At 51.5% G+C, this 26,452-nt stretch overlaps 1 long non-coding RNA gene across 1 annotated transcript, besides 16 other annotated features; it reads left to right on the forward strand.

Annotated features, from left to right (window-relative positions):
* Positions 160 to 360: a silencer, noted in NCBI's record as "peak4081 fragment used in MPRA reporter construct". NCBI's record gives its function as "represses an SCP1 promoter by STARR-seq MPRAs in K562 erythroleukemia cells {active_cell/tissue: K562}" and the evidence as "EXISTENCE:reporter gene assay evidence [ECO:0000049][PMID:32103011]".
* On the forward strand, positions 4,682 to 6,501 carry LOC105373928 (uncharacterized). Its single transcript, XR_923987.2, has 2 exons — positions 4,682 to 5,801; positions 5,888 to 6,501. It is a non-coding gene; the product is annotated as an uncharacterized LOC105373928 (long non-coding RNA).
* Positions 5,205 to 5,454: an enhancer, noted in NCBI's record as "active region_17294". NCBI's record gives its function as "activates an Ori minimal core promoter by ATAC-STARR-seq in GM12878 lymphoblastoid cells {active_cell/tissue: GM12878}" and the evidence as "EXISTENCE:reporter gene assay evidence [ECO:0000049][PMID:35858748]".
* Positions 5,205 to 5,994: a biological region, named in NCBI's record as "H3K27ac-H3K4me1 hESC enhancer GRCh37_chr2:232477143-232477789".
* Positions 5,348 to 5,994: an enhancer, noted in NCBI's record as "H3K27ac-H3K4me1 hESC enhancer chr2:232477143-232477789 (GRCh37/hg19 assembly coordinates)". NCBI's record gives its function as "activates a minimal SCP1, AML or CMV promoter by ChIP-STARR-seq in primed H9 embryonic stem cells {active_cell/tissue: H9 hESC(primed)}" and the evidence as "EXISTENCE:reporter gene assay evidence [ECO:0000049][PMID:30033119]".
* Positions 5,995 to 6,640: an enhancer, noted in NCBI's record as "H3K27ac-H3K4me1 hESC enhancer chr2:232477790-232478435 (GRCh37/hg19 assembly coordinates)". NCBI's record gives its function as "activates a minimal SCP1, AML or CMV promoter by ChIP-STARR-seq in primed H9 embryonic stem cells {active_cell/tissue: H9 hESC(primed)}" and the evidence as "EXISTENCE:reporter gene assay evidence [ECO:0000049][PMID:30033119]".
* Positions 6,125 to 6,214: an enhancer, noted in NCBI's record as "active region_17295". NCBI's record gives its function as "activates an Ori minimal core promoter by ATAC-STARR-seq in GM12878 lymphoblastoid cells {active_cell/tissue: GM12878}" and the evidence as "EXISTENCE:reporter gene assay evidence [ECO:0000049][PMID:35858748]".
* Positions 6,225 to 6,274: an enhancer, noted in NCBI's record as "active region_17296". NCBI's record gives its function as "activates an Ori minimal core promoter by ATAC-STARR-seq in GM12878 lymphoblastoid cells {active_cell/tissue: GM12878}" and the evidence as "EXISTENCE:reporter gene assay evidence [ECO:0000049][PMID:35858748]".
* Positions 6,641 to 7,287: an enhancer, noted in NCBI's record as "NANOG-H3K27ac-H3K4me1 hESC enhancer chr2:232478436-232479082 (GRCh37/hg19 assembly coordinates)". NCBI's record gives its function as "activates a minimal SCP1, AML or CMV promoter by ChIP-STARR-seq in naive H9 embryonic stem cells {active_cell/tissue: H9 hESC(naive)}" and the evidence as "EXISTENCE:reporter gene assay evidence [ECO:0000049][PMID:30033119]".
* Positions 6,641 to 7,964: a biological region, named in NCBI's record as "NANOG-H3K27ac-H3K4me1 hESC enhancers GRCh37_chr2:232478436-232479082 and GRCh37_chr2:232479083-232479728".
* Positions 7,105 to 7,484: a silencer, noted in NCBI's record as "silent region_12434". NCBI's record gives its function as "represses an Ori minimal core promoter by ATAC-STARR-seq in GM12878 lymphoblastoid cells {active_cell/tissue: GM12878}" and the evidence as "EXISTENCE:reporter gene assay evidence [ECO:0000049][PMID:35858748]".
* Positions 7,288 to 7,933: an enhancer, noted in NCBI's record as "NANOG-H3K27ac-H3K4me1 hESC enhancer chr2:232479083-232479728 (GRCh37/hg19 assembly coordinates)". NCBI's record gives its function as "activates a minimal SCP1, AML or CMV promoter by ChIP-STARR-seq in naive H9 embryonic stem cells {active_cell/tissue: H9 hESC(naive)}" and the evidence as "EXISTENCE:reporter gene assay evidence [ECO:0000049][PMID:30033119]".
* Positions 7,654 to 7,948: an enhancer, noted in NCBI's record as "tiled region #2469; K562 Activating non-DNase unmatched - State 10:DNaseD". NCBI's record gives its function as "activates a minimal TATA promoter and a strong SV40 promoter by Sharpr-MPRA in K562 cells {active_cell/tissue: K562}" and the evidence as "EXISTENCE:reporter gene assay evidence [ECO:0000049][PMID:27701403]".
* Positions 7,885 to 7,964: an enhancer, noted in NCBI's record as "active region_17297". NCBI's record gives its function as "activates an Ori minimal core promoter by ATAC-STARR-seq in GM12878 lymphoblastoid cells {active_cell/tissue: GM12878}" and the evidence as "EXISTENCE:reporter gene assay evidence [ECO:0000049][PMID:35858748]".
* Positions 13,940 to 14,140: a silencer, noted in NCBI's record as "peak4082 fragment used in MPRA reporter construct". NCBI's record gives its function as "represses an SCP1 promoter by STARR-seq MPRAs in K562 erythroleukemia cells {active_cell/tissue: K562}" and the evidence as "EXISTENCE:reporter gene assay evidence [ECO:0000049][PMID:32103011]".
* Positions 13,940 to 14,328: a biological region, named in NCBI's record as "Sharpr-MPRA regulatory region 726".
* Positions 14,034 to 14,328: a silencer, noted in NCBI's record as "tiled region #726; HepG2 Repressive non-DNase unmatched - State 20:ReprD". NCBI's record gives its function as "represses a minimal TATA promoter and a strong SV40 promoter by Sharpr-MPRA in HepG2 cells {active_cell/tissue: HepG2}" and the evidence as "EXISTENCE:reporter gene assay evidence [ECO:0000049][PMID:27701403]".

Consider the following 26,452-nt stretch of genomic DNA (forward strand, 5'->3'; position numbering starts at 1 on the left):
CTCTTTCCTGGGCACCGTGCACCTCTTCCCTTGCTCAAGGTCCATCTGCTGGCCAGTTCCTGGGATTTCTCTGACCCGCCCACTCCACACAGGCTGGACGTCCAGGGCGTCTTCAGAGAGGTCCACTAGATATTAGGGGACGCTGCCCAGTACTTTCCCATCAAAGACCAAGACCACAGAACACTTCCAGAAACGCTTCCAGAAATGCTCAATCCTGCCAGCACTGGAAGTTTGCCTGCCTATTTTCAGCTGAAGAACACTTGCTCTTGAAGAAAATGTAGCAGGGCTGTCTACCTAAGGTGAAATGTACCAGCTGACAGATGAGAATCTGACACTGATCAACATTAAAACAATATATAAGAACAAAAGTCAAGGGCATGTTTGTGGCCTCCTAGAGTCCACATCATGCCCATGATTTGTCTCACTCTGCCCTCGGAGAGCCAGAGGAGGGAACTTCTGCCTTGGCCCACCTGGGTTTGTCCCCACCCTGGAGTCAGGCCATGTCCACTCCCCTTCCAGTCTCTGCTGGGGTCCCTGCATGCCCTATGCTCTCTTCCAGCTTGTCTGAATCCTGCCCTCCAGTCTGAGTGCCACGTGGGGGGCAGCTTGCTGGGATGCCCGATGCCCCACAGAACTGCAGGGCTGCTGGCCTCAGACAATATGGCCCTCCGCTGTCAGATCCCTCCAGAGATGGCCTCAACTGGAAGAAATGCCTCTCAAAAGCCCACATCTCCCTTTCTTGGGTTCACTCAATGACTGGCGAGCAGTGGCATCCTGATGAGTGACAAGGCAGGTGGAAAGATCCAGCCCTCTTGCCTCAACTCAGGACAATAATACAAGACCCACCGGGCGCAGTGGCTCACGCCTGTAATCCCAGCACTTTGGGAGGCCGAGGCGGGTGGGTCACCTGAGGTCAGGAGTTTGAGACCAGCCTGGCCAACATGGTGAAACCCCATCTCTACTAAAAATACAAAAATTAGCTGGGCGTGGTGGTGTGTGCCTGTAATCCCAGCTACTTGGGAGGCTGAGGCAGGAGAATTGCTTGAACCCAGGAGGCAGAGGTTGTAGTGAGCCGAGACTGTGCCACTGCACTCCAGCCTGGGTGACAGAGTGAGACACTGTCTCAAATTAAAAAATAATAATAATAATAATAATAAAGAGTAATACAAGACCATCCCTGCTCCAGAGCTCCCCTTGGGGTCAGCAGGGCCTTCCAAGTTCTCCCTCTGCCCCTCCTGTGCCTTCCCCCGGAGATGCTGACCCCAGGAGCACTCCCTGATGAACCTCCTGCCTGGCAGTCTCCCTCTCAGAGCTGGCTTTCTAGGAAAGCTGACCTGCCTCCACGAAGCCACGTCTCTCCTACCTGGGGCACCTGTGGGCGCCTCCCACCTCTTCAAATGCCCTGTAACAGTCATCCATTCAGCAGATCCTCACTGAAGGCCTACTATGCACCAGATGCTGTTCTGGGTGCTGACGGTAAAGCAAAATGAAGCAGACACCCCTGCCCTCATGGAGCTCAGGCCTGCAGATGAGCAGGCAAAAAGCAACCAAAAATTTAATGTGATGACGTTAAACATCATACCACAGAATGATACAACAGAGAATCTGATTGTGGCTGGGGGCACCTGCTTTAGAACAAACTTCCTCTGGGTCAAGAAGGGTCTCTCTGAGGAGCCACGTCTGAATCAGAGGCCAGTTCCTCGATAAGTTGAAAGATGAACATTAACCAGGCAAGTTCAAAGGCTCTTGGATGGGAAGGAAATTGAGGTGTTGGATTCAAGGGAACAAAAGTGAAGCTGATGACGGGAGATGAGGTGAGATGTAGGACCAGAGGGCCGGGGAGGTTGCCTCATGCTTGTAATCCCAGCACTTTGGGAAGCCAAGGAGGGCAGATCACTTGAGGTCAGGAGTTTGAGACTAGCCTGGCCAACATGGTGAAACCTCATCTCTACTAAAAATACAAAAAAAAAATTTAGCCAGGCATGGTGGCGTGTGCCTGTAGTCCCAGCTACTTGGGAGGCTGAGTCATGAGAATCACTTGAACCTGGAAGGCAGAAGTTAGAGTGGTCCGAGATCATGCCCCTGGGTGACACAGTGAGACTGTCTCAAAAAAAAGAAAAAAAGAAAAAAAGAAGCAGGACCAGAGGATGCAGGGCCTTGAGGAAGAATCTAGAAGAATCTAGCTTTTATTGTCAGTGAGGTGGGAGCGTCAGATGGTTCTAAGCAGGGCAGTCATGGAATCTTTTTTTTTTTTTTTCTTTTTGAGACAGAGTTTCGTACTTGTTGCCCAGGCTGGAGTGCAATGGCACAACCTCAGCTCACTGCAACCTCCGCCTCCTGATTCAAGCGATTCTCCTGCCTCAGCCTCCCGAGTAGCTGGGATTACAGGCATACGCCACCATGCCCGGCTAATTTGTATTTTTAGTAGAGATGGGTTTTCTCCATGTTGGTCAGGCTGGTCTCAAACTCTCAACCTCAGGTGATCCACCCGCCTCGGCCTCCCAAAGTGCTGGGATTACAGGTGTGAGCCACCGCGCCCAGCATGGAATCTTTACCTGTTTCAAGCCATCACTGGCGGTCAGACAGAAAATGAATTCATCACATGAAATACCTGCTGTTCGGCACATGAGCATTTCTGGAAGTATTTCTGGAAGTGTTCTATGGAATGGGTGTAAGGTTTTGGGTTTTGTTTTGTTTTTTTTCCCATTAGTTTTTTTTTGTTTTGGGGATGTTTTTAGAGATTGGGTCTCATGTTGCCCAGGCTGGACTCAAACTCCTGGGTTCAGATGATTCTCCCACCTCAGCCTCCCGAGTAGCTGGGACTACAGGTACGCACCACTGCACGTGGCTGAACATTAGCTTTAACCTGCATTTGTGCAATATCCTGTCTGCTGTTTAGGAGCTGGAGTCCAGCACTTGGACTTGTTTGGATCCCCAACTGCCTTGCTCTGAGTAGGTATTCAATGAACATTTGATGAGTTGATGCTTCTGTTTTAGCTATGATCTTCTGGGTTTGTTTTGTTTTGTTTTGTTTTTACACAGAATGTTGTCCAGGCTTGAGTGCAGTAGCACAACCTCGGCTCACTACAACCTCTTCGTCCCGAGTTCAAGTGATTCTCCTGCCTCAGCCTCCCGAGTAGCTGGGGCTACAGGTGCCCGCCACCATGCTGGGCTAAGTTTTTTGTATGTTTAGTAGAGACAGGCCTTCACCATGTTGGCCAGGCTGGTCTGGAACTCCTGACCTCAAGTGATCTGCCCACCTCAGCCTCCCAAAGCGCTGAGATTACAGGCGTGACCCACCTTGCTAGGCCTGATCTTCTGGTTTTGCTTCTCAAAGTGTGGTCCTCAGACCAGTATCCGCACCAGCTGGGAGCTTGTAGGAAATGGAGAATCCTAGGCCCCACCCAGGCCTACTAAATCAGAATCTGCCATTTAACAAGATCCCCAAGAAATCCTAATGAATGGTAAAGTTTAAGAAGCACTTCTAGAGGGCAGAATAACTCAAGGGCCTCCGAAAAACCCGTAACAGACAGCAGGAAGTGGGCAGGGGTTAAAAGAGAGGCAGCCCTTAAGCCCAGCTGGGATGGAAGAAGATTTTGATTGGAGGTAAGAGAAGGTACATTCCAGGCTAAGACAAGGCTGGGAAGGAGGAGGCAAGTGTGAGGGTGGAGGGCCAGTGGTCTGAAGCAGCCAGCCCCAGGGGCCAGCAAAATGAGGAGGTAGAAATTCCCAGAAAGGCAGGAGACACCAGTTGCAGTGGCTCACGCCTGTAATCCCAACACTTTGGGAGGCCGAAGCGGGTGGATCACCTGAGGTCAGGAGTTGGAGACCAGCCTGGCCAACATGGTGAAACCCAGTCTCTACTAAAATACAAAAATTAGCTGGGCATGGTGGCAGGCACCTGTAATCCCAGCTACTGGGGAGGCTGAAGCAGAAGAATTGATTGAACCCGGGAGGCGGAGCTTGCAGTGAGCTGAAATTGCACCACTGCACTCCAGCCTGGGAGACAGGGCAAGACTCAGTCTCAAAAAAAAAAAAAAAAAAAGGCAGGAGAAAGCTCTCTCAGAGAGCAGCCCCTCAGATGGCCAAACAAGACTGGGGAGTTAGGTGGTGTGAGGCTGAATTCTGGCTCTGCCTCCCCCTAGCTGAGTGACCTTGGGCAAGTTATCATACTTAACTCTCTGAGCCTCTACAAAGTGGGGATAATAATAGATGTGCCAGCTGTTGGGGGGGCAGGAAGATTAAATGAGATAACACATATAAAACGCTTGGTACAGGAGAAAGGTGGGGAGCGCTCAGTAAATGGTAACTGTGATGACGAATAAAGTGCGGGCTGGATTGGGAAGGCCAGGAGGGGGCACTGAAGGCTTTTGAGACGGGGAGTACTGCAGCCTGTGTTTTAGGGAGATAAATCCAGCGGGTGCACCAGAGACAAGGACAGGGGCATGGCCAGAGGCTGCGGGCAGATGGGAGGTTGGTGTAATAGGGGCAAGACATTGAGAGGTGCCTTGGAGCTCAGAGAGGGGGAAGCAGCTGCCCTGGGGCAGAGAGAGGCTGGGGCAGGATGGCTCTGGGCTTCTAGGCTAGGAGGTGGGCTGAGGGCAGGCAGGCTCTGGGAGAGACGTGCTGTGGGAAGTGTCTGGCTGGGGTGGGGTGGAGAGGGGGGCTTCAGGGGACAGCAGAGAGGGGAGGTCTGAGGCATGGGGAGGATCAGGACCAGAGTCAGAGAGAAAACTTTCAGCCACAGGGGTTTATGGATGCCTCAGGATAGGTGAGGCTGCTCCCAAGAAGGAGGTCCTGAGGGAGCAGGAGGTGAGCTCAGCTGCACACAGAGGACTCAGTTGGGGAGACTCCCTCAAAAGTGGCAGCCACCCTGAGTCACTAAGTCTGTGACTCACCTCTGGCAGAGAGGAGGCAGGACAAGTAACAAAGCTGGTGCTTCCTGGGATGTTATCTGTGGGCCAGTCCCTGGTTTGCAAATCCCTTCCGTGCATGAACTTATCTAAAGCCCTATGAGGTGGAGCTAGTACCGGCACTATCCCATACTGCAGATGGAGAAATTGAGGCCCTGTGCGGTGGGGGTTATTCCAGACTCTTCGGCCAGGACACAGGCATTTGGCTAAACCTAGTGTTTGTGGCAGGGTCTGTTCTGATTGGCCGATGCCTGTCCTACTGGTTAGTCAATGTTTTGAAGGTCACCCTGGTTACACAGCTGGAGGAGGCAGAATCCCAACTAACCCCTGGGGCTGGAGCCCTGGTCTGAACCAGGATCCTCTCTCCGTCTAGCGCCGCAGCGCACCTCAGGACAAGTAATGTGCGTCGAAGGGCTTTGGAAACTGCAAGGCACAGTATAAATAACAGGTTCCTTCATTCCTCCTGGGCAGGAACTTTGGCCTCAACAGTTCCTTCTTTGTTGAGGCCAAAGAAGCTGGGCCATGAGAAGGCAGAGGAAACGCTGCTGTGGGGAACCAGCATTCTCTCTGCTTACTCAACGGGGAAAGTGAGTCAGAAGGGAAGCCTCCCTGAGTGGAGCCCCATGGTCAGCCCCTGGGAGGTTCTCACGTGCCAGACGCCATCCGGCACTAACCAGGTTAGCCTGGACTTGTCCCCAGGGCCCGTCCAGGCTCTCCTGCAACTGGCCACCAGGGGGCGCCGCTCCCCCAGCCTTCCTCTTACTGAACCTACCCCCCACCACCCCCCCAACAACCTGCTCGCGAGAAACCAGGCCTTGGAAGGAGTCCCGGGGAGCAGGCACCAGAGACTTTGAAAAGTGGCAAAAACGCGGGAGATGCTGAGTGGAGGTGGGAGTTCGTCCCTGCCCCACTGGGAGGGAGAAGGGAAGGGGGGACGGAAACCTACATATACCCATTTTCAATTCCCAAACCAGCCCTGTGGAGGAGTGCCTGCTCCCATTTTACAGATGAGGAATTTGAGGCCCAAAGATGTTGGGTAAGATCAAGAGGCTAGGGACAGGCAGCGCTGCGTCATTTGCTTCCAAGGTCAGTTCCTAATGGGACCACAAGCAAATGCTAGCTCATTTGGCCCTGTTGCCTAGCGGGGTCTCCCCCCCCGCCCCCCGTTGATCCTATGTTCTGAGTCGTGGCCAACACCACAACCTATTCCCCCACTGTGTTCCAGCAACAATTCCAGCTGCCCCTTCTCCAACCTGAACTTTCTGGAAGCCTGGGCACCTGCTTCATTGTTTTCCAGGGACCCCCATCAGCCACCCATCCCACACCCTCCCCATCTGGGCAGAGCCGGGAGCCCCCTCTGCAGCCCTGTCCTGCTTGACATCCCTTCCCCACCCCAGGGACCCCGCGGGGTCAGGCTTTGCTCCTCGACACCCCACGGTAGGCAGCAGCACGAATAAACAATGGGACATTTGAACCAGGAAGAGCCTGTGGTTGAGGCCAAAACAGGCACCAAGGTTTTCTCTCAGCTCCTACCAACTCCTTTTATGGCCTCTGGGCCCAGTTCCTTCTTCATAAAAAGTCAGAACTGGAAAAGGCCTCGAGTCACTGGGTCCAACCTGAGCCAACACTTTCCTTTTCTATAGAAAAAACCCGTCGTGCTGCCTCCCCGGCTCCAGCCAGGTTTACAGCACCAGGATCTGGGCCGGCAGCGTCCTTCACCGGAGGGAAATTCTAACCCTGGGGCGGGACCTGGGCACGTCCGCCGGGGAGGCCCAGTCCCTGCACCTGTAAAATGGGGGGCGGGCCTAACCGTAGCTTCTTCAAAGGCCCCCCGCCCCCAGCTTGAGGTTCTGTATCTAGCCCCAGGGACCCGCCCTAACGAACATCTATTTCGGCCCCCTCTGTCCAACCGTTTCCTTCCCTCTGCCCTGAGAGCTGTAGGCAGCTCGCGTGTGTGGGCGCACGTGCGTGCAAGTGATCATGTGTGTGCAGGAGCCGGTGGCGGCCAGACGCAACTCGGCACAGGCGTCCGCGCCTGGCTCTGTGCGCGCCCCCGAGATGCCGGCCTCCCCTAGTCAACCAGGTGGCCGTGTGCAGCCCCGGGTGTGCTCCGCGGGTACCAGCCCGGGCCGCTCGCCCCTCGCGGCCGACAGCACGCGGTGCGCGGCATCTGGAACGTGGGAGCTTCTGGTTCCCAGTCCCGGAGACCAGCGCCCCCTCCCCGCCAGGGATTTTTTCTGCTCCGCGAGGCGCGCTCCGGGGCGGGGGCCGAGAGCAGCCCCGCCCGGGCCGGCCTGCTAGGGCGGCGAGTCTGCCGGGAGCGCGCCGCCCCCACCCAGGCGCCCCGATGGGTTTTTCCATGACTGCATCCGGCCTCGGGCCGCCTTTGTTCCCGCCGTCCCCGGCCTGCCCGCGAAGCGGCCCGCCTCTCCCTGCGCGCCTGGGATTTTCCAGGGCTCAATTGGAGCACTGGCGAGCCGCCTCCCCGCCCCCAGCCTCCCCTGCCCCGGCTGCCCCCGAGTCCTGTTTCAGGGATCCTAGCCCTCTCTCCAGACGCGCTGCTCTGTCCACTGTCCCCGCCTCCAGGACCTGCGTCCTCCCAGCCCCACATTTGTGCGCAAAGTTGACGGTCACCGGGCCCGCGCGCTTCGGCATCTCGCGAAGGCGCTGCCCGCGCCCTGAGTCCTTCCCTGGGGCTGTACGTTGGAAAGGACAGAGGTCTCCTCTGCTTCGCAGTTGCAAAAGGCTTCACGTTTTCACCAAGGGGCAGATGGGGCAGTAGGGGCCCTGGGAGGCCTGGTCCACCAAGGAGGGGGAACCCGCGCGCGCGCGCGCACGCACGTGGCCCGGCGCGCCCGGGAGACCTCCGTGTGATCACCGCGCGCAGCAGCTCCCGGGCGGAAACACCTCCCCCCTCCACGGGAAAGTGGGCTCAACCGGGGGCGGAAAGCGACACGGCTGGGGGACGACTACGTGCTCCCTTAACCCCCTTCCCGCTGTCAGTAAGGAAGTGGAGATAAACCGAAGAGAGGCCTTGGAGAAAGGAGCAGGGCGGGGTGAGGGAGTTGTGGGGGGATTATTTGAGAGTGAGGTCAAGCTCAAGAGCCCCAGGACCCTCTCAGATCCCCCGTGCCCGTGGGAACTGCGCGTCCGCCACCGATCCTGCCCGCGCCGGGTTGAGTTCAGTTTGTGTCTCCGCGCGCTGCGACTTTGCGCGCCTGGGGGCCTCCCAGCTATTGCCTGGCTATGCTGGCGGGAAAAGTGTAAGAAACGCTGTTTGCCCTGCAGGAGAAGCCAGATACGCATGGGGTGCTTCAGGCTGGGGAAAGGTGCCTGCCTCTGTGGGGTTTTTGGAATCCCAGGTGGCGCCCTTCCTACAGCCCGGCAGAAGGCAGCCATGCCTTCAGGTGGGGAAAGATCTGGAGGTGCGGGTGGGAGGAGGACGAAGCAGGAGGGACACCCGGATCCGCAAAGGGTCAGAGACCCAGAGCTGTCTTGCTGTGCCAAGTGAGAGGGAATGCCCCGTCGGCAGCTTTGAGCGCCAGCTCCCTGGCCTAACCAGTCATGAGGGAACGGGCAGGCTGCTCTGGAAGGGCCCTTCCTCCAGGTGTCCTCTTGATCAGCTTTGCCTGCTCTTTAAGGTGTCCCTGTGTCTCGGCCGCCTCCCCTCTCGACCCTCTTTTTTGCTCTCAGAGGCAGCACACCAGTCCCCATCCCCAACCATCCCAGGATGAGAATGTCTTGGTCCTGGCCGGGCGCGGTGGCTCACGCCTGTAATCCCAGTACTTTGGGAGGCCGAGACGGGCGGACCACGAGGTCAGGAGTTGGAGACCAGTCTGGCCAACATAGTGAAACCCCGTCTTTACTAAAAATGCAAAAAATTAGCCGGGTGTGGTGGTGTGCGCCTGTAATCCCAGCTACTCGGGAGGCTGAGGCAGGAGAATCGCGTGAACCCGGGAGGCAGAGGTTACAGTGAGCCGAGATCGTGCCATTGCACTCCACCCTGGGTGACAGTGCGAGACTCCGTCTCTAAATAAATAAAATAGGGCCAGGCGCGGTGGCTCACGCCTGTAATCCCAGCACTTTGGGAGGCCGAGGCGGGCAGATCACCTGAGGTTGGGAGTTCAAGACTAGCCTGACCAACATGGAGAAACCCCGTTTCTACTAAAAATACAAAATTAGCCGGGTGTGGTGGCACATGCTTGTAATCCCAGCTACTTGGCAGGAGAATCGCTTGAACCCTGGAGGCAGAGGTTGCAGTGAGCCGAGATCGCGCCATTGCACTCCAACCTGGGCAACAAGAGCGAAACTCCCTCTAAAAAAAAAATTAATTAATTAAAGGAATTAAAAAAAATAAAGCCTTGATCCCACACCTGGGTTCCCTGCTGCTCACAGGATAACTCAGATGCCCTTTGCCCTTGTAGAATTGGTGGGAGATTCCAGGAGCAGAGGCACAGCCCCTGGCTGGGGCCCAGCCCTGCCATAAGGGGAACTTTAACCGAGATACCTGCTTCCCTCCTCCATCAGTCCCCTCAACGCCATAGCAACAGAGGCCTTCAAGGTGCACAACTCCTCACCTAGTATGCTAACTGATATTGACTAGACCGATCAGACAAGCAGGCCCTCCTTAGACTCACCTAAAAATATTGGGGTGAGCAGGATGCCATCCAGTTCCCAAAATGATAGCACTCTGGCATCTCCTTTCTTCTTCCCTCACCTTGCACAGAGGAGTAAGTCATGTTTAAGATCTAGTCAATTCCGGTGGTGCCAATAGTAATGGTGCCAATTCAAGTGGTGTCAGATGGTTTCTACCTGTCCTCCCTGACCAGGGCCGGCCTTGGGGCAGCAGGAGAGAAAAAGAGCCCGTTGGCAGGTGCTTGATCCCAGTTGTGACTCCCATAAGGGGGCAAACATCAAAAGTTCTGTCACTCAGAGATGAGGTGATTGCACCACTAAATCCTATTTGCTGTTCCTTCATCCTCAGCTGTCATATCGACTGCTCACCCTTCAATCTCCATGTCCTTGCTCAGGCTGAGAATATTCTATTTTTGTTTTGGAGACAAGATTGCACTCTGTTGTCCAGGCTGGAGTGCAGTGGTGCAATCACGGCTCCCTGCAGCCTCAACTTCCTGGGCTCAAGTCATCCTCCTGCCTCAGGCTCCCTAGTAGCTGGAACTACAGATGCGTGCCAACACACCCAGCTAATTTTTTGGATTTTTAATAGAGATGGGTCTCACTATGTTGCCCAGGCTGGTCTCACTCCTGAGCTCGAATGATCTTCCAGCCTCGGCCTCCCAAAGTGCTAGGATTACAAGTGTAATCTTAAGTCCTGGCCTGAAGCATTATTCCTCTTCATCACCTCCCACCTACTCAAACATACACTTTCCAGAACTTTCCTTCTAGTCAGAATGTTTTCTCCTCCCTTTAAAGGCAGAGTTCGGGAAAGCAGAAACAAAGAGAAATGCTTTGATCTTGACGCATTCTAAAAATGGAATTAAACTTCCAATAGTGATAGCAAACAGTTAGTATTTGCTACTTGCCAGGCTGTTCACATATGTTAATTCATTTAACCCACATAACCACTCTGGGAGGTGGGCACCATTATCACTTCCATTTTAGAGATGAGAAAACAGGCACAAGAAGTGAAGCGACCTGTCCAAGGTCACACAGGCAGAGGCTCAGCTGGGAGTTGACCGCGGCAGCCTGGCACAGAGCCTGTGCTCCTATACTGTGCTAGTAAAGTGTTGCACAGGCATACTCAGGAAGTGGTGTTCATATACATAGCTCGTCTGTAGAGTAGGAGGAAAACAATAGGTGCTGGGGTTTAGGAGACATTTTTCTTGGGAAGAGTCACATTCGTAACGGCGATGTCTGCTGCAGTTCCCACTTTGTGGCTGTTACAGTTGTTTTATGGGTTTTTTAAATCACAGCTGTCAACTGAGAAATGTATGCCAGTCAGATCATTACCCTGATGGAAGAAAACTCCAAGTCCTTCCAGCAGTAATGTGCATCCTATAATATTTCTTCATTTCATATTTATTGACCCACTTGCCTGTGCCCAGTGCTGTAGCAGAGGCTCGGGGGAACATTCTTAGCAGGAAGAGAGCTCACTTCACCATCTTCTTGGGGAGACAACAAGTACATCCATGTAACAATGATACCTTCAGTTGCCAAAGGGAGCATTTCAATTGACCAGCAGCTAATATCTGATGAGGACCCGTGGCTGACCGACATGAAGGTGGGCTCATGATCCCTCTGGTCTCCATGCCCTTCTGAGACGCCCCCCATTGGGTGTGGGTGGGGCCTGTGACTTGCTTCTAACTAACAGAATATGGCAAAGGTGACAGGATGGATGTGACTATGTGTACGTTATATGAAATTGTAATGACAGTTTTGCTAGGATGCCTCCTTCCTTGTTGGCTTACGAGCAAGAAACTGATGCCCTCAGTCCAACAACCTGCTCGTAGCTGAATTCTGCAAACAAGTACACGAGCTTGGAAGAAGATCCTTCCCCAGTGAAGCCACAGATGAGACCCTAGCCCTGGCCTGCACCTTGATCACAGGCTTGGAGAGGACCCAGTTGAGCCATGCTCAGACTCCTGTAAGAAAATTGTGAGATAGACTGGGTGCGGTGGCTCACGCCTATAATCCCAGCACTTTGGGAGGCCGAGGCAGGCGGATCACCTGAGGTCAGGAGTTCAAGACCAGCCTGGCCAACATGGTGAAACCTCATCTCTACAAAAATACAAAAATTAGCTGGGCATGATGGCAGGTACCTGTAATCCCACCTACTTGGGAGGCTGAGGTGGGAGAATCACTTGAACCCGGGAGGGGGAGGTTGCAGTGAGCCGAGATGGCACCATTGCACTCCAGCCTGGGTGACAGAGAGACTCCGTCTCAAAAAAAAAAAAAAAAAAAAAAAAGAAAAGAAAAGAAAAAGAAAATTGTGAGGCCGGGCATGGTGGCTCACACCTGTAATCCCAGCACTTGGGGAGGCTGAGGCAGGTGGATCACAAGGTCAGGAGTTCGAGACGTGCCTGACCAACATGGTAAAACCCCGTCTCTACTAAAAATACAAAAATTAGCCAGGTGTGGTGGCACACGCCTATAATCCCAGCTACTCAGGAGGCTGAGGCAGGAGGATCGCTTGAACCTGGAACCTGGAAGGCAGAGGTTGCAGTGAGCCAAGATCTCGCCACAGCACTCCAACCTGGGCGACAGAGCAAGACTCTGTCTCCAAAAAAAAAAAAAAAAAAAGGCCAGGCGAGTTGGCTCACGCCTGTAATCCCAGCACTTTGGGAGGCCGAGGTGGGTGGATCACGAGGTCAGGAGATTGAGACCATCCTGGCTAACACAGTGAAACCCCATCTCTACTAAAAATACAAAAAATTAGCCGGGCGTGGTGGCGGGTGCCTGTAGTCCCAGCTACTCGGGAGGCTGAGGCAGGAGAACGGTGTGAACCCGGGAGGTGGAGCTTGCAGTGAGCCGAGATCACCTCCCTGCACTCCAGCCTGGGCGACAGAGCGAGACTCTGTCTCAAAAAAGAAAAAAAAGAAAGAAAGACAGAAAAGAAAAAAGAAATTTGTGAGATAATAAATATGTGTTTTTGTTAGTTTGTTTCATTTTTGTAGAGATGGGGTCTTACTATGTTGCCCAGTCTGGCTGTGAATTCCTGGACTCAAGTGTTCCTCCTGCTTCAACCTCCTAAGTCTCTGGGACTATAGGTGTGTGCACCCGCACCAAGCTAAGTGCGTATTGTTTTAACCCTCTACCTTTGTGGTGACATTCTTATGTAGCAACAGAGAACCAATATAGAGCCTATTAGGTAAAAAGTCCTCTGTGGGGCTGTTAGACGATACCAAAAAACATAAGGAAGCCAGCACTTCAGGAGCCTCCCAACAGTCAAGGTGAAAAAGAAACCACAGCATACTTTTACTATTTGAAAAAAGAAAATGTTTTCAAAGATTGAACCCAGACAGCCATAGTGGCTCTCGCCTGTAATCCCAACACTTTGGGAGGCCAAGGTGGGAGGATTGCTTGAGGCCAGGAGTTTGACACCAGCCTGGGCAACATCATGAGACCTCCATGTCTACAAAAATAAAAAATAAAGAGGGAAACTGGCTCCTGATTCTAAGAGGAATTTATCATGTGGACAGTATCTATGTACAATCCGTGAACAGAGCATTGAGTCTGTAGGGGCTGGACCACCTGCAATTCAAGAGTCCTCCTCATGCTGATTCCTTTGGGTCTGACCTCCTGCCACATCACACCCTCCTGCTTGTTGCCCTCCTCCTGGACTGCCCTTCCTTCTCTGCCCATTGCCTCCTACATTCCAAAGACCAGCTGGGACCTGTCATTCCTTCTTCAAAGCCTTTAATTCCCAAGCAGAATTACCTGCTTTCTCCCTGAACTCCCAGATCACTGTTATCAAAGACATAACATTGTATTATTCATTTGTCACTGTTTTTATTGAGCATCTGCTAAATGCTGGGCCTCCTGTTAGGTGCAAGAGACACAGTCACAAATGCAGCACAGGGCTGTCCTTGGGGGCCTACAGCCTGTGGCACCGTGGTCATGGCCCCATCCTTTCCTCCATATAGGGCCTGTCCTCTCTTTGCAACCTTGGAGCTAGCGTGACACACAGCAGCCTCGAGTCTCAGCATTTGTGAAATGAATGATTGAGGCTGTGCAGACCTTTCTCTGCTAGCTCACAAGCAGTTGCTGCCTTCCTGAGAGGCTTTGGAGAAAGTGCTAGCTTAAAATATGTCCCCAAGTAGCTGAATCTGTAGGATATCATGATTCTGTGGTGTCCACGTGAACTCAACATTCAACCTGTCGAGAGCAAAAGTCAGCAGAAACTGACTTCGTTTCCCTGTTATTGATATGAGGCTGTGGGGGCTCACTGTAATTAATCAGTAGGGTCAGCCGCCTTTGAAGGTTACTCGTTGTTCCTCATAGCGGCATCTCCGCAGTATGGATGGAGATGCGGAACATCCCGTGGCAGTCATCAGAAATTTATGCGTCTAATTGATCTGAAAACTGAAGGAATTTAGCAACAAGTTAAGACGGAAGGCGACCAAGGTGTGGCCCTATTAGCTTTGTTGCTCAGCACATAGCCCCAGGCATTTACAGGAGGGGCCACACAAGTCCTTTGTCACTAGTCCTTTGTCACTAGCGGCAGCCTCACCTGAGAAGACCTCCAAGGGTGCTGCCTGTACCGTCAGGAGGTGGGGAGTGTCCGAGGGCCCTGGAGTGCACAGATCCGCCCTGGAGGGTAGCCATGGGGACAGCCCACTCCATCCTCCCACCCCTACCCCGACTTCCTGGCCTTCCCAGGCAAATGTAGGCCACCTTGTGTTCAGTTTCCTGGAGAGTCTCCTTTCCCCAGCATCCGGGTCCCCAGGGGAGGGGTGACAGCTACCCCTGTCCCCGATCTGTGGGGCCTGGCCGCCTTCCGCAGGGCTGCGCGCCATTCCCGCATCGTGCTGCGTCTTGGATGATTTTCCTGGCTGTGACCCAAGCACCTGGAGCCTCCATTATCTGTGCTCAGAATTTCCAAGTCTCTCCAAAGTCCTCCAAGGAGAACCCCCGCCCCACCCCCAGACACTGATGCGGGCCTCCAAGAGTTTGTTTTTTTGTTTTTTGTGGGTTTTTTTTTTTGCAGTGTGACAAGGTTCCTGGAAACCACGGGAGTTTTACTACATTCCCTGGGACTTGTTTACCGGAGATGCAGATTGCAGCGGCGGTGGGTGCGGGGGATGAGGGGGGCGGGAATGAGCCTTCTCCCCAGAGCTGGGGAACCTGTTTCTGTTTCTGTTTCATCATTGTCTGGTCTGTCCTCGTTGCCTCTTAGGCAGAGCTGATGCCCCATTATAATCTAAGCTGCAGGAGAAATGGTCTCAGAAATGGGCTCAAAACACTGCCCCTGGATCCCATAATCTAAAATTTAAAATATTCCGTGAAGCATGCCCCTTGTATCATATCAGCTCTCCTCTTCCCTCTGTCCTCCTTAAACCTGCACCATTTTTGGTGTCCTCTCTCTCTCTCTCTTTTTTTTTTTTTTTTTTGTTGTTGTTGTTGTTGAGACAGAGTCTCGCACTGTCGCCCAGGCTGGAGTGCAGTGGCGTGATCTCGGCTCACTGCAGCCTCTGCCTCCCGGGTTCAAGCAATTCTCCTGCCTCAGCTTCCTGAGTAGCTGGGATTACAGGTGCCCACCACCATGCCCAGTTAATTTTTGTATTTTTAGTAGAGACGGAGTTTCACCATGTTGGTCAGGCTGGTCTCAAACTCCTGACCTCCCAGTGCTGGGATTACAGGCATAAGTCACCGCGCCCGGCCGGTGTCCTCTCATTTTTTAAAATTTTTTCTTTTGTAGAGATGGCATCTTGCTTTGTTGCCCAGACTGCTCTGGGACCCCTGGCATCAAGCTATCCTCTCACCTTTGTCTCCCAAAGCATTGCGATTACAGGTGTGAGCCACTGTGCCAGGCTTGGTGTCCTCTCTTTATACTCATTTTTCTGTTTGATCCTTGAGATCTGGTGACTCTAATTTTGGCCTGACCTCTTGGCCAGGTACCTGGGATACCTTGGCTCCCCTCTCGGACCTAACCCAAGCATCCGGAAGGACTGCCTGCTCCACTCTCTCTGCTTGTCCTCAGTGCCCTGCCTCTGCCCAGCCCCAGCTCCAGGCCCAGGATGCTGCTGCTCTGGGGCCTCTGCCTCTCCAGGCTCCAGCTCTTCCGCAACTAAACAGCTCGGCCCCAGGCAGTCCACAGCTAAAATGTGGGACTAATACTGTAGGGGCTGGGTATCCCAGCACTTTGGGAGACTGAGGCAGGCGGATCCCTTGAGGCCAGGAGTTCGAGAGCAGCCTGGCCAACATGGCAAAACCCCATCTCTACTAAAAATACAAAAATTAGCCTGGCATGGTGGTGGGCGCTTGTAGTCTCAGCTACTTGGGAGGCTGAAGCAGGGAATCACTTACACCCGGGAGGCGGAGGTTGCAGTGAGCAGAGATCTCACAACTGGGCAATAGAGTGAGACAATGTCTCCAAAAAAAAAAAAAAAAAAAAAACAAAGGGGTCTGAAACCTGGGCCCAGGGGCAGGCATGATGATTCACGTCTGATTCACGTCTGTAATCCCAGCACTTTGGGAGGCTAAGCTGAGAGGATTACTTGAGCTCAGGAATTCGAGACCAGCCTGGCCAACATAGTGAGAACTCGTCTCTACTAAAATTCAAACAAAATTTAGCCAGGCGTGCTGGAATGCGCCTGTAGTCCCAGATACCACCAAGGGGGCCGAGACAGAACTATCACTTGAGCTGGAGATGTTGGGGTGGCAGTGAGCCCTGATCGTGCTACCACACTTCAGCCTGGGCAACAGAATGAGACCCTGTCTCAAAAAAGAAAGAGAGGCCGGGCACGGGGGCTCAGCCTGTAATCCCAGCACTTTGGCAGGCCGAGGTGGCTGGATCACTTGAGATCGGAAGTTTGAGACCAGCGTGGCCAATATGGTGAAACCCTGTCTCTGCTAAAATACAAAAAATTAGCTGGACATGGAGGTGCACGCTTGTTGTCCCAGCTGCTTGGGAGGCTGAGGCATGAGAATCGCTTGAACCTCAGAGGCAGAGGTTGCAGTGAGCTAGGATTGCCCCACTGCACTCCATCCTGGGCAACAGAGTAAGACTGTTTCAAAAGAAGAAAAACTCCTGGCTCAAGCGATCCTCCTGCCTCAGCCTCCCAAAGTACTGGGATTACAGGCATGAGCCACCACACCACACCCCCACCTGCCCACCAAGCCTTGGTTTCTTAATATTTTATTAGATATTTGTTCAATTTTTTTTTTTTTTAGACAGAGTTATACTCTGTCACCAGACCAGAGTGCAGTGGTACGATCTTGGCTCACTGCAACCTCTGCCTCCCGGGTTCAAGCAATTCTCCTGCCTCAGCCTCATGAGTAGCTGGGACTACAGGTGCGCACCACCACACCCAGCTAATTTTTGTATTTTTAGTAGAGATGGGATTTCACCATGTTGGCCAAGATGGTTTCAATCTCTTGACCTCATGATCCGCCCACCTCGGCCTCCCAAAGTGCTGGGATTATAGGCGTGAGCCACCGAACCCGGCCATTTGTTCAATTTTTTTTTTTTTTTTTTTGAGACGGAGTCCTGCTCTGTCGCCCAGGCTGGAGTGCAGCGGTGCCATCTTGGCTCACTGCAACCTCCTCCTCCTGGGTTCAAGCGATTCTCCTGCCTCAGCCTTCCGAGTAGCTGGGATTACAGGCACCCACCAACACGCCCAGCTAATTTTTGTGTTTTTAGTAAAGACGGGGTTTCACCATGTTGGCCAGCCTGGTCTCGAACTCCTGACCTCAGGTGATCCACCCGCCTCTGCCTCCCAAAGTGCTGGGATTACAAGCCTGAGCCACTGCGCCCAGCCATTTGTTCAAATTTTTAACAAATATTTATACCTTATTTTGTGTAAGCTGGTGGGCCTATTTTAACATACATTTTATGAGTTGATATTTAAGATGCATGTTTACTGTTATAAGAAAAAACATAACTCTTCAACAATTACAGTAAAGTTAATGCTTTCTTGCCACTGTAATAAAGGCATGTTTGAATTAGAAAAGAAATGTACTTTGAGTAAATCTTAAAGAAACACTGTTTTGGCCGAGCGTGGTGGCTCACACCTGTAATCCCAGCACTTTGGGAGGTCAAGGCAGGTGGATCATCTGAGGTCAGGAGTTCGAGACCAGTATGGTCAACATGGTGAAACCCTGTCTATACTAAAAACACAAAAATTAAGCTGGGTATGGTGGCAGGCACCTGTAATCCCAGCTACTCAGGAGGCTGAGGCAGGAGAATCGCTTGAACCCGGGAGGCAGAGGTTGTAGTGAGCCAAGATTTCGTCAGTGCACTCCAGGTTGGGCAACAGAGCGAGACTCTGTCTCAAAAAAAAAAAAAATGTTTAAATTTCTTTTTTTTTTCCTTTTTTTTTTTTGAGATGGAGTCTCACACTGTTGCCTGGGCTGGAGTGCAATGGGGTGATCTCGGCTCATTGCAACCTCTGCCTCCCAGGTTCAAGCGATTCTCCTGCCTCAGCCTCCTCAGTCGCTGGGATTACAGGTGACTGCCACCACGCCTGGCTAATTTTTTGTATTTCTAGTAGAGATGGGGTTTCACTATGTTGGCCAGACTGGTCTCAAACTCCTGACCTCCGCCTCGGCCTCCTAGAGTGCTGGGATTACAGGCGTGAGACACTGCGCCCAGCAAAAAAAAATTTATTTCCAATTGAGTAATTAGGAGTTCAGTGAGTCCTTAATTCAAGACAAGAGATAAACTGTTCTGCCAAGAAAGAAAGAAAAAAAAAGCTTTGCCTAGCTCTTTTTAAAACTTCAGATGATTGATCAAATGTCTCAGCCAAAGATAATTCAGGAATCTACAAAACCTGGAGAGAGGAGCCTAATGGAGATGGTGCATGAGCGAGCATGGCCGTGGGCTCTCTTTGTCCTCATGAGAAGCCACCGATGGCCCGGCCCAGACACCTGCCAAGAGAACATGGCTTAGTGGCTGCCCAGGACTCGCCCCAAGCTCCATTAGGAAACACTTGTTTTTTGAAACAAGCACTTGAGATGAGGACTTCAATTCCTTTGGTTTCTGGGTGACTTCCTCTCTGGCTGGCTTGTCGCTCTGCCTCCTGACATCTCTGTCAGGCATTTTGAGTTTCCTGTAGCCTCTATCAGAAGGACAGTTAGGGCTGGTGTCTACCTGGGCTTTGTGGGTCTGGGTTATTCTCTGGAAAGCTGCTCCTGAAAGTCCCTTGAAATGGAGTTTTGTATGCCCTTTAGATGGCGGAAGAGGACCCACAAAGGCGGTTTCCCTGTCTCCATCCCAGAAACAGTCGAACAGGGGGTCACAGTGCTGAGTGTTAGAATCATAACCATTGGTAGCCATGCATGGTGGCACATGCCTGTAATCCCCGCACTTCGGGAGGCCGAGGCGGGCAGATCACGAAGTCAGGAGTTTGAGACCAGCCTGACCAACATGGTGAAACCCCGTCTCTACTAAAAATACAAAAATTAGCCGGGCATGGTGGCATGCACCGGTAATCCCAGCTACTCAGGAGGCTGAGGTAGGAGAACTGCTTGGACCCAGGAGGCAGAGGTTGCAGTGAGCAGAGATCACGCCACTGCACTCCAGCCTGGGTGATAGAGTGAGACTGTGTCTCAAAAAAAAAAAAAAAAAATCATAAGCATTGGTGTGCAAGAAAGGGGAGCTTCTGAATTACCCATTTCATGCCCAGAACTCAGAAAAGGATTCACTCTCAATAGTTGAATGTCCAAATGTAAGGACCCCTGAGCATCCCACCAGTCCTTGTTCCACAATAGGAGGTTAAGGGGGACCCCACTAGCAGCACCTGGGTCCCGATTGAAGCGAGCAGTCCTTTCCCCATTGGCAGGTGCAGTCGCCTAGGAACCATCCTTTGCAGGGGTACACTACGGGCAAAGCCACACTAGTGGGGATATGGGAATATACAAAATGGCTATTTACAGCCAGAGATATAAACAAGGCTCAACGAACGATCAGGTTGGAACCAGATAGCTGAGCAATCTCTTTCACCTGAGCACATATACAGGAGGATGATACTATTGCAGTCTGTTTAGGGAGTGGCAGGAGTAGAAATGAATCATGAAGATCAAATAACTCGGAGATGACCTCTGCCATGTTAAGGGAGCTAAAGATATTTAGCCCACTGCTATAGTTGGACTTTATTTTTTTTAATTTAATTTTATTTTATTTTATTTTATTTTATTTTTGAGACGGAGTTTTGTTCTTGTTGCCCAGGCTGGAGTGCAATAGCGCGATCTCTGCTCACTGCAACTTCCACCTCCTGAGTTCAAGCGATTCTCCTGCCTCAGCCTCCCGAATAGCTGGGAATACAGGCACCTGCCACTACACCCAGCTAATTCTTTTTGTATTTTTAGTAGAGACGGGGCTTCCCCATGTTGGCCAGGCTGGTCTCGAACTCCTGACCTCAGGTGATCCACCCGCCTCGGCCTCCCAAAGTGCTGGGATTACAGGCGTGAGCCACTGCGCCCGGACTTTTATTTTTATTTTATTTTATTATTATTAGTTTTTGAGACAGGGTCTCTCTTTGTCACCCAGGCTGGAGTGCAGTGGCATGACAGTGGCTCAGTGCAGCCGTGACCTCCTGGGCTCAAGCAATCCTCCCACCTCAGCCTTCTGAGTAGCTGGGACCACAGAAACATGCCACCACACCCAATTAATTTTTGGTATTTTTTGTACAGACGGTATTGCCGCGTTGCCCAGGCTGGTCTCAAACTCCTGAGCTCAAGTGATCCTCCTGCCTCAGCCTCCCAAAGTGCTGTACATGTGTGAGCCACTGCACCAGGCCTAGTTGGATTTTAAAAGGAAGAGTTAAAAACCTAAACTGAAAATTAGCTAGGCATGGTGGCGTGTACCTGTAATCCTAGCTGTTTGGGAGGCTGAGGCAGGAGAATCCCTTGAGCCCAAGAGGTTGAGGCTGCAGTGAGCCGTGATCGCGCCACTGCACTCCAGCCTGGGCAACAGAGTGAGACCCTGTTTCAAAAACAAACAACAACGACATCCACAACAACAAAACAAAACCTAAAGTGGAAGGGGATTTGGTTTCTAAAAGCCACAGGCTGGTAAAGAAATGAGGCTTATTCTGGGAAGAAAGGTCAGAGTCTTTGGATTTCTTCCTCCCTCCCACCACATTCCAGGACAGAGTTTTCAGTTCATTGGCAGGTATACTTCACAACACCCTTGGGGGCAGGAAAAAAACAGCCATTTATTTTTGGAGTTCAGGACGGAATATTCTGGAATGGATTTATTCACATAATCAGGGTTAGACTTGCCTAATTCATGTAGACTAAAGGGTAGTAACGCAAAAGACTTCATTCCTCCCATGGGAAAATCTCTGCGCATTCCAGGGCATTCTGTGGGAAGAGCAGAAAGCTCCAGACCCACACAGGGTAAAGCTCTTCTCAGGCTGGCAACAGTGAAACCGTGGGCAGAGCAGTCTGGAGTCACGGGCTTCACAGAAAGGGGATCTGGGGAGGGGTCCCATGCAGGGCTCAGAAGGTCCTGGGTGGATTTGTCGTCCAGGGTCAAGATGGAAGAAGGTTCCCAGCTGCATGAACAGTCAAGAAAAGATTGGGAGCAGTACAGATTGACTGGAAAATACATAAGAAAAATCTATTTTTTTTTTGAAACAAGCTTTCACTTTGTCACTCAGGCTGGAGTGCAGTGGTGTGATCTCAGCTCACTGCTGCCTTGACCTCTCAAGTTCAAAGCGATCCTACTGCCTCAGCTTCCTGAGTAGCTGGGACTAACCACCACACCCCGCTAACTTTTTTTTTTTTTTTTAGAGATGGGGTTTTGCCGTGTTGGCCAGGCTGGCCTAGAAGAAATTCACCCTAAGCTCAAGAAATTCACCCACTTTGGCCTCCCAAAGTGCTGGGATACAGGCATGAGCTGCTGCGCCTGGCCAATCTTTTTTTTAAACAGTAAATCTGAGCCAGGCATGGTGGCTCATGCCTATAATTCCAGCACTTGAGCCTGGGCAACACAGTGAGACCCCATCTCAATTAACTTTAAACATAATTTATAAAAAGAAATAAAATTTAAAAAGAATAGTATGATCAGATGTGGTGGCTCAGCCGGGTGTGCTGGCTCACGCCTGTAATCCCAGCACTTTGGGAGGCCAAGGCGGGTGGATCACGAGGTCAGGAGATCGAGACCACCCTGGCTAACACAGTGAAACCCCGTCTCTACTAAAAATAGAAAAAATTAGCCAGGCGCCTGTGGTCCCAGCTACTCGGGAGGCTGAGGCAGGAGAATGGCGTGACACCGGGAGGCGGAGCTTGCAGTGAGCCGAGATCGCGCCACTGCACTCCAGCCTGGGCAACAGAGCAAGACTCCCTCTCAGAAAAAAAAAAAAAAAAAAAAAGATGTGGTGGCTCACGCCTGTAATCCCAACACTTTGGGAGGCCGAGGCAGGCTGATCACTTGAGGCCAGGAGTACAAGACCAGCCTGGCCAACATGGTGAAACCCTGTTTCTACTAATGATACAAAAAAAAAAAAAAATTAGCCAGGCGTGGTGGTGCACACCTGTTGTCCCAGCTATTTGGGAGGCCGACCCAGGAGAAGACCTTGAACCCGGGAAGTGGAGGTTGCAGTGAACCAAGATCATGCCACTGCACTCCAGCCTGGGCGACAGAGCGAGACTCCATCTCAAAAAACAAAAAAAAAGTCCCTTTAAACAAGTAAATAAAAAGAATAGTAAATCTGCTGGGCATGGTGGCTTATGACTGTAATCCCAGCTACTCAAGATGCTGAGGCAGGAGGATCACTTGAGGCCAGGAGTTCAAGACCAGCCTGGGTACACAGGGAGACCTCGTCTCGTCTCTAAGACAAAAGAAAAATAGTAAATCTGAAAATGCCAGATACTGGTGAGGATATGGGGAAATGAGTACTATTTTTTTTTTTTTTTTTGAGACAGAGTCTTGCTCTGTCGCCCAGGCTGGAGTGCAGTGGTGCAATCTCGGCTCACTGCAAGCTCCGCCTTCCGGGTTCACGCCATTCTCCTGCCTCAGCCTCCCGAGTAGCTGGGACTACAAGCACCTGCCACCACGTCCGGCTAATTTTTTTTTTTTTTTTTTTTGTATTTTTAGTAGAGACGGGGTTTCACTGTGTAAGCCAGGATGGTCTCAATCTCCTGACCTCGTGATCCGCCCGCCTCGGCCTCCCAAAGTGCTGGGATTACAGGCTTGAGCCACCACGCCCAGCCAAGAGACAGGGTCTTACTCGGTTGCCCAGGCTGGACTGCAGAGGCACATTCTGGGCTCACTGCACCCTCAACAAACCTGGGCCCAGGGGCCAGGCACGGTGGCTCACGCCTGTAATTCCAGCACTTTGGGAGGCCAAGGCAGGCAGATCACAAGGTCAGGAGATCGAGACCATCCTGGCTAACACGGTGAAATCCCGTGTCTATTAAGAATACAAAAAATTAGCCAGGCATGGTGTGGCATGCGCCTGTAATCCCAGCTAAACGGGAGGCTGAGGCAGGAGAATCGCTTGATCCCAGAAGGCAGAGGTTGCAGTGAGCCGAGATTGTGCCACTGCACTCCAGCCTGGGTGATAGAGCAAGACTCTGTCTCAAAAAAAAAAAAAAAAAAAAAACCTGGGCTCAGGTGATCTTCCCACCTCAGCGTCCAAAGTAGCTGGGACTACAGGCACTCACCACCACGTCTGAGTAATTTTTGTATTTTGTGTAGAGATGGGGTTTTGCCATATTGCCCAGGCTGGTCTCGAACTCCTGAGCCAAAGTGATCGCCCACCTCGGCCTCCCAAAGTGCTGGGATTACAGGCTTCAGCCACTGCGCCTAGCCTGAAATGACACTGTTGTTGGTAGTACTTTGAGAGCACGTAGCAATACCTGGTAATGCTGGAGGTGTGTGAATGTGCTCTTCAGAGTTCCTTACCTAGGCTTTCGGAACAGGTGTTCAAGAAACAAGTACAAAGATATTTACTGGAGCACTGTATGCAATTGCAAAAAAAAAGTTAAAACAACCTAATTTTCTCTCAGCAAAAGAAAGGACAAAATGAACCCAAACTTGCTCAAGTTGGTATTCTATGCTGCAGTGAAAATGAATGAACAAGATCTTCATTTTTGGCTGGGCGCAGTGGCTCACACCTGTAATCCCAGAACTCTGGGAGGCCGAGGTAGGTGGATCACGAGGTCAGGAGCTCAAGACCAGGCTGGCCAAGATGGTGAAACCTGGTCTCTCCTAAAAATGCAAAAGTTAGCTGGGTGTGGTCGTGGGCACCTGTAATCCCAGCTACTCGGGCGGCTGAGACAAGAGAATCACTTGAACCCGGGAGATGGAGATTGCGGTGAGCCAAGATCGTGCCATTGCACTTCAGCCTGGGCAACAGAGCAAAACTCCTTCTCGAAAACAAAAAACAAAAAAGAAGAAGCAAAAGTTGGCCGGGCACGGTGGCTCACGCCTGATATCCCAGCACTTTGGGAGGCCGAGGCAAGCGGATCACTTGAGCTCAGGGGTTCGAGACCAGCCTAGACAACATGGTGAAACACCATCTGTACAAAATATACAAAAATTAGCCAGGCATGGTGGCTTGTGCCTTTCTTTTGTTTTAGAGATGAGATGAGGTCTCCCTATGTTACCCAGGCTGGTCTTGAACTCCTGGCCTCAAGTGATCCTCCTGCCTCAGCCTCTTGAGTAGCTGGGATTACAGTCATAATCCCAGCTAATTGGGAGGCTGTGGCAGGAGAATTGCTTGAACCCGAGAGGTGGAGGTTGCAGTGAGCCGAGGCAGCGCCACTGCACCACTGCACTCCAGCCTGAGTGACAGAGTGAGACTCCTCTGTCCAAAAAAAAAAGAAGAAAAAAAGAAGCAAAAGTTGCAAAATGGTACACATAGTGATTCCATTTATGTAAAGTTCCAAAACACACACACAAAATAGTAAGTTCTGTTTAGAAAGACATTTATAATATGTAGTAAAACAACAACAAAAAAACATACACGAGGGTGATTTACATACATGGGGGTGATTTACACCTACCTCAGGATAATGGTCACCTCTGGGGAGAGAGGGAGAGAACAGCCATAGAGGGCTTTAGCTATTTCTGTAAAGCTTTATTTCTTTTTAAAAAAATCTGAAGAAGGCCAAGCACGGTGGCTAACGCCTGTAATCCTAGCACTTTGGAAGGCAGAGGCGGACGGATTGCCTGAGCTCAGGAGTTCGAGACCAGCCTGGGCAAACATGGTGAAACCTTGTCTCTACTAAAATACAAAAGAAATTAGCCGGGTGTGGTGGCAGGCGCCTGTAGTCCCAGCTACTCCGGAGGCGGAGGCAGGAGAATGGCGTGAACCTGGAAGGTGGAGGTTGCAGTAAGCCGAGATCGCGCCATTGCACACCAGCCTGGGTGACAGAGCGAGACTCCGTCTCAAAAAAAAAAAAAAAAAAAAAGCTGAAGAAAATGAGGCAAAATATTAATATGTATTTAATACATATTACACATGTGTGTTTATGATATTTCATTTTATATTTGTGCTGGGCTGAATAGTGGCACCTCCACAAATGTCCACCCGCTATCCTAATTCTCAGAACCTTCATGTTGTAAAGGAAACTTTGCAGATGTGATTATATGTCTTGAGATGGAGATAATCCTGAATTTTCTGAGTGGATCCAACATCATCACAAGGTTCCTTGTAAGAGGGAGGCAGGAAGGTCAAAGTCAGAAAGCGGAAATGTGACAACGGAAGTGGAAGTTGGGGTAATGTGCTTTGAAGATGCGGGAAGGGGCCACGAGCCAGGGAATACAGACAGTTTCTAGAAGCTGGAAGAGACAAGGAAAAGATTCTTCCCTGAGGCCTCCAGAAAAAACATGGCCCTGTCAACACCTTCATTGTAGCCTCTTTTTTCTTTGTTTGTCACCCAGGCTGCAGTGCAGTGGCACAATCTCAGCTCACTGCAGCCTCGACCTCCTGGACTCAAGCGATCCTCCCACCTCAGCCCCGCAAGTAGCTGGGACTACAGGTGCACGCCACTGTGCCCAGCTAATTTTTGTATTTTTTTGTAGAGACGGGGTTTTGCCACGTTACCCAGGCTGGTCTCAAACTCCTAAGCTCAAGTGATCCACCCGCCTCGGCCTCCCAACGTGCTGGGATTCCTGGCATGAGCCACCATCCCCAACCCTTCACTGTAGACTTCTGACCTCCAGAAATGTACGAGAATAAATAAATTTCAATGTTTTAAGTCACTAAATTTGTGGGAATTCGTTACAACAGCAATAGGAATCTAATCCAGGACTTCTGGGAATGTTTCATCATTTTAACTTTTTGTTTGTTTTTCTTGTATGACGTTATGTTGTGAGAGGCCTGAGTCCTGTCTATTGATATCTTCCTGTTCCTCCTCCTTCAGAGGAGGTGGGGAGCTGTTCAGGGGCCCTTCTCAACCAGCCATACCATGAATACATCACGAGACTTCTGTGCGAAAGATGGAGCTATACGCCCATCTCAGGAGGCCCTGGGGTTTCTGGAAGACCTGGTTGTCAGAAAATGTTTGGGGGCTGGGGTGAGCTGCACTAGGGGAACCTCTGGAACTGGTCCCTTTTTCCCTGGAAGGTGGAGCTGCCAGAAGCTCACAGAAGGCTGAGGGTGACAGTTTGCAGAGACGAGCTTTGAGGCACTGAAAGGAGCGCGCCTGGAACCCTCTCCTTACCCTCTTTATCCACCTTCTGAAAAGGCTGCATGAACCACCCAGGGGCTGGCCAGTGTGGAGAAGATTTGCCTGGAAAGGGTGGTGCTGGATGTCAGATGGGCAGGTCCTCCTCCACCACCAGAGCAGCTCAGCAGTGAGGGTGGCAGCACAGTGCTCACAGGGGCTGACACCTCTCACTCGGGGCAGTACCCTCCTGGGCTCCACCTGAGAGCTGAGCCAGTGAAGCTGTGAGGTACCCAGCCAAC

Source organism: Homo sapiens, chromosome 2 (assembly GCF_000001405.40).
Source record: "Homo sapiens chromosome 2, GRCh38.p14 Primary Assembly".
NCBI lineage: Eukaryota > Metazoa > Chordata > Mammalia > Primates > Hominidae > Homo > Homo sapiens.